Source organism: Homo sapiens, chromosome 13 (genome assembly GCF_000001405.40).
Source record: "Homo sapiens chromosome 13, GRCh38.p14 Primary Assembly".
In the NCBI taxonomy this organism is placed as follows: domain Eukaryota; kingdom Metazoa; phylum Chordata; class Mammalia; order Primates; family Hominidae; genus Homo; species Homo sapiens.
The window spans coordinates 64,338,521-64,350,412 of NC_000013.11; the positions used below are offsets into that span (position 1 = coordinate 64,338,521).

Genomic DNA, 11,892 nt, shown 5'->3' on the forward strand with positions numbered 1-11,892 from the left:
CTCAGTAAATCTTTTATAAGTTTATGTCTTTTGGTTTCAAAACACTTTAATTTACTGTAAAAAGTAATAGGGTTTCTGTCATCAATATGTGATTTGTAATGCCTTAATAAAGAGTATGATGTCTTATACCCAACTTCTGTGGATAAAAATCTAAAGTTTCATGTGCCCTTAGAAACTCAATATTGTGGTGCAGGCTGTATATTTTGGTATAAGAAACCATAAATATTACATGGATAATATTTATTGTTTTCAACACTTCTTTTTTGAAACAAGTAAACGTGTATATTGTGGGCCAGCTTTGAAAAATGCCAGTATTTCCACTATTTAATGTATGTTCAACATCACTTTAATAAAGTTTGAGTACAACAGAGACCCATCTCTTTCCTTAATGTACTGCATAATTAATGATTAATTTCCTGTGGCCAAGAAAAATACTGGTGACTTAACATACAGGATGAACCCTAACAATTTCTCCTATGCACATTCATATTATTTTGTTTTTGCAAATTAATAGAGGCACTCAGGAATGTAGTCTTTAATTGCTAAATAAATGTGTTTCCTAGATAAATGCATTGGTCAATAGTGATAAGCATAACAAAGGTATATTTAAACAGTTACCGTTATTTTTTAAGTCTTTTATTTTTCTTGTTGGTTGCATTATTATAATCTACTATTACCAGCATTGCTCAGTTAGAAATCTTATGTATATTTAAATGATTAATTCAAAGTTACTGTATACAATAATTATTGCTGAAGTCAATAGCACTCATGCTGATATAGATGAATGGATTACATATCTATAGGTGAGAAACAACAGTCCTACATAGACTTAAATACCATTCAATTCATGCCATCTTGATAACACAAAAGGGAATATCACTACGTTAAAATTGGAAAAGCAATTTTTAAGTTCACATAAAATCTAATTCATTTTGAGAGCTTAAACCTGTGAACTCAAAAGCACCTGAGACAGGTCTCAAGCAGTTTAAAAAGTTAATTTTGTCAAGGTTAAGGATGAGCCCATGACACAGCCTCAAGAGGTATTGATGACGTGTTTCCAACGAGGTTAGAGTACAGCTCGCTTGCATAGATTTTAGGGAGACATAATACATCACTGAATACATGTAAGATATACATTGATTTGATCCGGAATGGTGAGACAACTCAAAGCGGGGCTTTCAGCTCATAGTAGACTTAAAGATTTTCTGACTGGCAATTGGTTGACATAGGTAAGTTATTTTCTAAAGAACTGGAATCAATAGAAAGGAATGTCTGGGTGATGATAAGGGATTGTGGGGAGCAAGTTTTATCATGCAGATGAAGCCCTTAGGTAGCAGGCTTCAGAGAGAATCGTTTGTAAATGTTTCTTTTCAGACTTAAGGTGTGTGTTGATGTTAATGCTGGTCGACTTTTCCTGAATTCCAAAAAGAAGGAGGGTAAAATGAAGCATATCTGACCCCTTCTTGCCATCATTGCCTCCACTAGTTATTCAGGTTAACTTTGGAATGCCTTTGGCCAAGAGGAGGTGTTTGTTCAGATGGTTGGGAGCTTAGAATTTTATTTTTAATTTACAAACACAACCAAAGACATATTGTTCATTGACACAAATTCAATTCCTGAATGAGTCTTGCCAGTTTTGTAGATTTTTAATGAATATCTGAGTGCCCATATTTATTTTTCATTAGTCAAATATTTTGATACCTTGGAAATATGAAGATTAAAACTAAACAAACATAATAGTTTATTATAAAAAGTAGTCAATGTTTTCTGTATTATTACTTGTGGTGCTGGTGTCAAATATCAATTTCATACATGAAAATAATATTCCTCTGTTCTGGAATTATTAAAAGCTTTTTTTCTGTATGATCATATGAAATGTCGTGCTAATTTTACCCTGTGTGTTTTATTCAATACATTTGAGTTAAAAGAGGAAAATAAGCCTCTATGCACATTGAAGTTAGTAATTTAATTATATAATATGTCCATGTCGAAGTCTAGGAAAGCTGAAATCACAAGACAAAAATCAATGAGTCCTATTAAAAACTTTTTGTGGAGAAATCATATGCCCTGCAACCATCAATCACTTCAGTAAAAAATACCAGGCAATTAATACACTATTCACTTTTAACCTTATACATAAAGGTTTTTGCCTGATATATTTACATTTTAATGTTATATAATCAATAAAACATGTGATGACTATTATTTATAAGTTTATATGTTTTCACTTCCATCTTCTTTAGTAAGTGTCAGAATAAAAGAATATAGTCAGGCAAAGAGAAAATAAGAAAATTATACTAGACACCTATAGATTAAGTTCATAACTGAACGTATTTCAATGAGTGTTATATAATGAGAATGACAGGTAATAGAGGAGAACGAAGAAAGGTCATCATGGTAACTAGAAAGCAAAGAACATTTTATTGGTGTTGAAATTTGAATTAATTCATGTTCATATTCTATATTAGTCACCTGATCAATTCCAAAGCTATGAAACAGAATAAATTGCATAATGCAGAATTATTTTCTTTGCAGGTGATGGTATTACTTAAAAAAGTTCTGGTTCTGCTAGCTAATGTTGATGTTGCACTATTGTTTGTAGACAGAAGAAATTATCAACCTTCCAACTAGCCTAGTTGCCAGAAAAGCAGTTCATTTCAACTTCCAGGAATAGAGTCAAAGTACCAAAAATGTGTTTAAAATGTGGAAACAGAAAACAGAATTACTGGTTTTTAAAAAAATTGAAAGATGTATACAGACATATATGTTACAAATGTCTGTAATAAAAATATATATTCCAACTAGTAAATACATATACATAATTGTTATAATGATGGTAATATATAGTTATCACATACCAGCACTGTGCTAAGATTTTTCCTCATAGATTTAACTAAACAGCAAAACGCAAATATTTAATAGTAGAAGTATTAGCATAAGTTTACCTCCATGATACCATCAGCACAATGAAGATAATGAACATATTCATCATTCCCTACAACTCCTTTAGGCCCCATTGTAATCCCCCTGTCCCTCCTTGTTGCTTCTCAACCACAAGCAAGTATTTTTTGCTTTGTGATGCTATTGTAAATCATATTATTTTCTTAATTTTATTTTTGACTAGTCTATGTTGGTGTACAGAAGCACAATGATTTTGTGTAAAGTGTAGCCTGCACTTTACTGAAATCTAAAAGCTTTTTAGTGAAACCTATAAACTTTCCTATATATAAAATCATGTCATCTGCAAACAGAAACGACTTAACTTCTTTCTTTCCCATTTAGATGCTTTTTTTAAAATATTTTTTTTCTTACCTAATTGCTCTGGCTATGATTTCTAGTACTATGTAGAATACAAGTGGTGAAATTAGGAATCATGTTGCTGATACAGATCCTAGAGAAGCTTTTAGCTCTTTGCTATGGATATGTTGGCTGTGGGCTTGTTATGTGTGACCTTTATTTTGTAGACAAACATTCCTTTATACTTAAATTGTTCGGAGTTATTACCATAAAATGATGTTACATCTTGCCAATACCTTCTCTACATCTATTGAGATGTTCATATTTTTAAATTCATTTTATTAATGTGATTTATCACATTTTTAATTTTCAATATTGAAACATTTTTGCATCCCATGCATAAATCCCACTTGAGCATAGTGTATGATATATTAAATTGCTATTTAGTTTACTGCACTAGCATTTTGTTGAGAATTTTGCATCTGTATTTATCAGAGATATTTGCCTATAATTTTTTTTGTAGTGTTCTTGTCTGGATTTTGTATTTGAGTAATGCTGATTTTGTAAAATGAATACTTCAGTATTCCTTGCTCCTCAATATTTTGGAAGATTTTTACAAGCATTAATATTAATTATTTGTTAAATATTGGCTAAAAAGCATTCATGAAGTCACCAGGTTCTGGGCTTTGATAAGACACTTTTTATTAGGGATTCAATCTCCTTACACATTATTGGTGTATTGAACTTTTAATTTTTTATTCAATCTTATTAGGGTGTAAGTGTCTAGGAATTTACTCATCTATTCTAGTTTATCCAACTATCTGGTATTTACTCGTTCATAGTAGTGTCTTATCTTTCGCATTTCTGTGGTATCAATTGTACTTCCTCCTCTTTCTGATTTTATGTATTTATCTCTTTTTCTTCTTTCCTAGGTAAAGGATTGACAATTTTGTTTATTTATTTGAAAAAACAACATAGTTTTATTTGTCTTTCCTATTATTTTTCAGGCCATTATTTCATTTATTTTTGCTGTGATCTTTGTTATTTCTTTTCTTCTACAAATTTTGGGCTTAGTTTATCTTTCTTTTTCTATTTTCTTGTGTTATTTATTTGAGATATTGCATTTTTCTTCATGCAGGCATTTTTACCATAAACTTCTTTCTTAGAATTTTTTTAGATGCATCCCTTAGGTTTAGGTATATTGTGTTTTATTTTTGTTTTAATATTTATTTATTTTACTTCCTCTTTGAACCATTAGTTGTTTAGATGTGTGTTAAATTTCATCTGTTTGTAAGTTTTCCTCAATTTATTTTATCTATTTCTAGTTTCATGCCATTTTAATCATAAAAGATACTTGATATGATTCAGTCTTAAATTTTTTAAGACTTGTTTTGTGACCCAGAATATGGTCTATTCTCCAGAATGGTGTCTGTGAGCTAGAGCAGAATGATTTCTACTGATGTTGGAAGTAATATTCTGTATAAATCTGTTAGATCCACTTGATCAAAAGTGTAGTTCAATTCAATGTTTATTTATTTATTTTCTGACTTGATGATCTCTCTATTATTTAAAGTGCTATATTGAAGTCTCCTACTATTATTGTATTTCTATCTATTTCTACTTTCAGATATGTTAATATTTGCATTTCATATTTAGGTAGTCTGATGTTGTGTAAATAGATATTTACAATTGTTACAACTTTTTGATAAATTAAATCCTGTATTATTCTATAATGACCCTCCTTGTCTCTTGTTACAGTTTTTTACTTAGTCTTTTATCTGATATAAATATATTTGCTTCTGCTCTCTTTTCATTTCCATTTGCATGAAATATCTTTTTCCATCCTTTCACTTTCAATCTATATGTGTCCTTAAAGTTAAAGTGAATCTCTTGTAGGTAACATGGAGTTGGGTCTTTTTCAAATCCATTCAGCCACTCTATGTTTTTTTATTAGAAAATTTACTCCATTTATATTTAAAGTATTGATTCATAAGGACATAATATTGCCATTTTGTTAATTATTTCCAGGCTGCTTTGTGGTTACTTTATTCTTTTCTTTCTCTATTTCTGCCTTACTTTGTAATTTGATGATTTTATATAATAATATTAATTATTTTCTTTCTTTTTGTACTTAGTATATATTTTTTGTCTTGTGGTTACCATGGGGCTTACTTAAAATATTTCATAGTTATAACCGTCTATTTTAAGCTAACAACAGCTTAACTTCAATTGCAAGCAAAACATACACTTTCAGTAACACTGTCACAAACATTTAAGGTTTTTGACATCACAGTTTACTTTTGAAATTGAGTATTAATTAATACATTATTGTAGCTACAGTTATTTTTAATAGTTTTCTTTTGATCTTTACATTATATTTAAAATAATTTAAACATCATTATTATATTAGGCTATTTTAAATTTGACTGTCTACTTCCTTTTACCAATGACTTATTTATTTTCATATATCTTCATGTTACTAATAAGTATTCTTTTTTTTCAGGTGGAAGAACTTTTAGCGTTTCTTGTAAGGAAGCTCTAGTGGTGATGAGTGCCCTCACTTTTCAGTAGTCTGGGAAGGTCTTTATTTATCCTTCAGTTCTGAAAGACAGCTTTTCTGGGTAAAATATTATCGGTTGAAAGTTTCTTTTCTTTCTTTTTTTTACCAATACATTGAATATATCATCCTAATCTCCTGACCTGAAAAGTTTCTGCTGAGAAATCTTCCAAATTCCCTTGTATCTGACACATCTCCTTTTCTACTTTCAAAATTCTATCTTTGTCTTTGGTTACTGACAATTTGCTTATCATATGTCTTAGTGAAGTCCTCTTTGGGTTGTAACTGGAAATCTTTGACCCTCACATACTTAGATGTCCATATCTTTCCCAATATTTAAAGAAGTTATATTATAAAGTGGGGAGAAGACAAAGAGTCATAAAAGTAGGTGATGTTTCTGTGCTACAATCAAACTGATAGAATAAAAACACCTGAAAACTGTGACAAGTTATACATATATCACATAATAACTAGAGCAACCACTAAAGAATGTGATATGCTCAAAATCACTACAAATAAAAAAATAGAACTCTATAAAAATCAAGTAACAAACTTGAAAGTAGGAAAAACCAACTGAATAAAATAAAATAAAATAAAACAATAAATAAAAACAAAAAAGAGAAATAGACAAATTCACAACTACCATTAAAAATTTCAACATACCTGGCTTGAGATTTGATAAAACAACGGGAGAGAACATCAGCAAAGATACAGAAGAACTCAACAATATCAACCAATAGAATGTAATTTATATTTTTAGAGCATTCCACCCAACAACTGCAAAATGCAGATTATTTTCAAATGTCACATAACTTATGCCTAAATAGATCATACACTGGGTTATGAAACAAACCTCAATAAATTTAAAAGATTAAGATTAAAAGATTAAAAGACATTATTGCCTACATAAAAAAAACCACAAAGACTTCTCAACAAAACTCCTAGAACTAATAATTGAATTCAGAAATGTGATACAAAACAAGATAAACATTTAAAAAATTGTATTTTTATATACCACTATGAATATCTAGACACTAAATTTTTTAAAAAAATATGCAATACTATTGACAATGATCAGAAAAATAAAAAATATACTAGGTGTAAATCTAACAAAACATGGACAGTTGTTATATGCTTAAAAGTAAAAAATGCTGGTCAAAGCACTTTTCAAAAAGACCATAATAAATGGAAAGACATATGTCCAGAAAATTGAAGTTGTTAATTTTTCCCAAATTTATATACAGTATTTTTGCAATTTCTATCAAAATCCCTAGCACATGTTTTTGTAAATATAAATGAAATTATTCTAATGTTTATATCAAAAGACAAGAAAGCTAGAATAGGTAAAACAATTTTAAATGAGAATAAAGTGGAAAATATAAATCTACCCAGTTTTAAGTTTTAATATCTAACTGTAGCAATCAGGAATTCTGGTACTACCAGAGGGATGAAATACACACAAACACACCCAACTTATTTTTGATGAAGTTGAATAAGCAATTCAATGAGAGAAGTGTAAACTTTTCTATATATGATGCTGGAGATATTGGACATCCTCTTGCAAAAAGAAAAACTGAACTTTGGCCTAAGCCTTATACCTTAAACAAACAAGAAAACTAACACAAATTTTAGTAAAAACATATAGAAAATAATATCGGAGGGGTCTATGGCTGGATAAAGAGTTTTTAGACTTGATACCAAAAACACTGTCTATAAAATTAAAATAATAATTTGGTTCCCATCAAATTTAACGAAAAATAATTTATCTGTGAACAACTGTGTTAAGAAGATGAAAAGACTAGATACAGATTGGGAGGAATTTGCAAAGGACATGTCTGATAAAAGGATAGAATATATAAAGAACTCTCAAAACTCATGTTTAAAAAAGTCACTCCATTTGAAAAAATGAGCAAAAGACATAAACAGACATTGCACTTAAGAGAATATACAGAGAGCAAATAAAGACATGAAAACTTCAACATCATCAGCCAACAGGGAAATGCAAATTAAACCACAATGAGATCACCATTTATCAAAATAGTTACATTGAATTAAATTTTTAAAGTATATATTGACAGTATCAAATATTGGGAAACTGGATCTCTAATACACTTCTGAAAAATGGTTTGGTGGATTTTCTAAAGAAATGAAGATCTTTATCTGGTTCATACAAAAACAAACACAAAAAGGTTTATAGCTGCTTAATTTGTTACACCAAAAACTGCAATCCAGGTAACCTTCAACTAGAAAACGTTAAACACACTCTGTTATATTTATACCATGAAATACTACTGAGCAATATAAAGGAATAAACTGTTGATATATGCAGCATACTGGATGAACTACAGAGAAGTACGCTTAGTAAAAAATCCAATCACAAGTGATTGCATGCTATATTACTTTTGAAATGACACAACTATAGAAATGGAAAACTGATGAGTGGTTAAAGAGCTGGTAGAGAAGGAAGGAAATGGTTGTGGCTTTAAGAGCGCAACATATCAGATCCTTTTAGTGACAGAAATATTTTGTATCATATCTGTATCTGTATCTCAGATATATATTGTAATATTGCTTTGTAAGGTGCCACCATTGGGAGAAACAGTGCAGAGTACATGAGGTCGGGCACGGTGGCTCATGCCTGCAATCCCAACACTTCAGGAGGCCGAGGTGGGTGGATTACCTGAGGTCAGGAGATTGAGACCAGCCTGACCAACATCGTGAAGCCCCGTCTCTACTACAAACACAGAAAGTAAGACCGACGTGGTGGCATACGCCTGTAGTCCCAGCTACTCGGGAGGCTGAGGCAGGAGAATGGCGTGAACCCGGGAGGTGGAGCTTGAAGTGAGCCGAGATCGTGCCACTGAACTCCAGCCTGGGCAACAGAGCGAGACTCCATCAAAAAAAAAAAAAAAGTACATGAGAGATCCATCTGTATTATTTCTTATGACAGCGTGTGAAATTATCTCCAAATAAATGTGAATCTATCTCCAAATAAAAAGTTTAATTAAAAAAATGAATAGCCACATGGGTAGTAGCTGCCATCTTGGGCAACACAATTCTATACTATAACTATTATATCTTATGCATGTATCCTCCCCACTATTTTGTGAAGAATTTAAACGTGCAGGCTTTCTTAAATGTATCTATTTTAAGTAAAGTATCTCACACTTGCCTATAGTACAATAGACAGTCAATAGATGTTAACTTTTTGGATACTTTTTTATGTGATTTATAGATATTTTGTTTTGTATTTTCTTTCTTTTGGCTAAATTAGACTACTAAGTTTCATGAGCTGAAATGGGGATTTTTATCACTTCATGTCTATAGTCTCAGCATAGAGGTGATGTTTAATAAGTTTCACTTTATAAATCTTCAAAGCACATCAAAGGTCTGTGCATTGAACTTACTAGTATAGTGAATAAGATTCTATGCTATAAATTGTCCCATTAGCATTAAGTCTCGAGAGAGCTGAACTTCTGCTCCCATGAACAAACATGCTACAGTCTCTCACCATATCCAAGCGGCACCAGTGTGTGCTTGTCATTAAGGGTGAGTAGCCAAATGCTAGGATTTCTGAAAACATGAGTAAGACAGAGGGAGAGAATCCAGAGACATTATTTCCATAAGATAAATTATTTGTCAGCAAACAGAAGCTAACAGCCTCTGGGTAGGAGTTCTGGAATTAAAATAAGATTATGAACAGAGACCAGTATATAGAATGCAAGGACTTTGCATTTAAAAGAGATTTTAGGAATACGTATGATTCCAAGTTAGAAATTCCAGGAAGAAGCCAAATTTGGAAGTCAAAATTGAAAACTGTAAAACAGATATTTAAGATTAAGCAGGATGAAATTAATAAAATCATTTCAGTTTTTTCCTTGAATATTCCATAAATATGAATTACAGGAATTTCATGTATATCTGGTCTCAGGTTATGACCACTCTTAAGTGAATGTTTATAATGCTCTTAAAAATCTGGTTGGGCGCAGTGGCTCACGCCTGTAATCCCATCACTTTGGGAGGCCGAGGCAGGTGGATCACCTGAGGTCAGGAGTTCGAGATCATCCTGGCAAACATGGTGAAACCCTGTCTCTACTAAAAATAAAAAAAACTTAGCTGAATGTAGGGGCACACACCTATAATCCCAGGTACTCCGGAGGCTGAGACAGGAAAATTGCTTGAACCCAGGAGGTAGAGGTTGCAGTGAGCTGAGATTGCACCACCGAACTCTAGCCTGGGTGACAAAACAAGACTGCGTCTCAAAAAGAAGTAAAAAGTCACCTAAAGTGTTGATTCAAAATGTAGATTTCTGGGATCATCATAAAATATTATTGTTAAACATGTCTGGTGTGTATCTGTATGTGCATGCCAATTAACAACCCATATAATTATGATGCAAGTAATTGGACCAAATTTAGGAAGAAGCCCTGCCCTATAGCTGAGAAGAAACTAGTCCTCCAGGAGTGACAAAAGTCTCTGCTTGTGGAGATGAGGTAATGCAGAGATGAATCTGGCATTAGTTGCCAAAAATACATTTGATAACTGATTTACACATGCCACAAAGTATATTTATTTTGAGCCCAAGACTGATGGCCCTATACTTCACATGACTAATTGAAATTAATAAAAGTAATTATCCATAGAGCATACTGGAGTTTGCCTTTCTCTGCCAACTCATTTTTCTTGTTTCTCAATAAATGCTACTAGGAAGCAGGAGAAAATGATTTTGGGCAATAAATTGTTGAACCCTGTGGAAAGCCATTTTTAACGATAGGTCACCTTTCGACCTTAGAATTAGGAGGAACTAGGTTACTTCTCTAAAGTGCACTAATCATAACCCTTGTAGAATTAACACCAACTAGGCTAAATAAATGGACTGTGTAAATTACACAAGTGGATATGTTGTCAGTTTGCCTTGCTAACCTTCACTAAAGCGGGAGTCACTGCTCTCATTAATTCTTCATTTTCTCAAGTTAATTAACTAGTGTGTGGTGCAGTGTCCTCATTTTAAAAAATGAAATAATACTATATTAATATAAGGTGTTGAGATGGTTGATTACATTTTTATAAAACTCTGCAAGATTAGTGAGAGAAATAATGCCAAGCTTAAATCATGTTAAGATTGCATTTAAATATCTTAATTATAGTTGTAAAATTTATAATTAAAATATAGCATAGGATAAGCTCCAATCTATATTATTATATTACCATATTTGTGTAGACTATATCTCCATCACATGTTGTAAATGCAGGCAAATTCTAACTGCTGCTCAAAGTTCTGCTTTAAAATTCTCTTTTTCAGTATTTTAACATACACTCATAGTCTTTGGGCATTAAAATATTTTGGAATATCTTTAAATGTCTTTGAAGGGCTATCAGACCACATCATACGACCTCTGACCATTTGCTATAACTAAAATTCACAGTGATAGCTTATTTAAGGGTAAATGACGGATTAACACAATAATCGCTCTGATGAGTGCTTTATAGCTAGACTTGACCATTTTCTTTTATGGTCTAGAAGGACCATATGGTTTATAAGAACACCATCAGGATAGTTCTTACAATTGAAATAAAAGAATGTGCCTTGAAATACTCTTTACAAAAATGTTACAATAGGTTGATTTAGCTAACTTAGTAAAACTGTTTAAAAACACCTGAAAATCAACCAGCGTAATCACCTGATGTTACCTTTGAATACACAGCAATTTGTTCTTTTTTTGGTTTGTTTTTTATATTGGTTCTAGAAAGTATGTGAAATTGCATATGCACATTTGTAGATATATGTGTGTGTGATGTTTATATAAAATTTTAGTAATCAAGGGCTTTGAAAAATACTTCCCTTCTATTTAATTCCTATATATTCCCAATGTGCTCTGTGAACTTTATGGCTCATTTCATTATGACAGATAAGCAGAAATCCATTCCCATAGCAGAATCGTCAAGACAGATCTGCTTAACTTACATATTCAAAAAATACTACTCATTCTTAAAAAGGGGGGAAGCTTTTGCAACGACATGAATGGACCCAGAGGACAGTATGCCAATTATAATGTCAGGAATTAAAAACCAAATATGACATGATTTCACTAATGTGT

The 11,892-nt window shown here is 31.6% G+C and overlaps 1 annotated feature.

Moving 5' to 3' along the window:
• Window positions 983–1,630: an enhancer, noted in NCBI's record as "OCT4-NANOG hESC enhancer chr13:64913635-64914282 (GRCh37/hg19 assembly coordinates)". NCBI's record gives its function as "activates a minimal SCP1, AML or CMV promoter by ChIP-STARR-seq in naive H9 embryonic stem cells {active_cell/tissue: H9 hESC(naive)}" and the evidence as "EXISTENCE:reporter gene assay evidence [ECO:0000049][PMID:30033119]".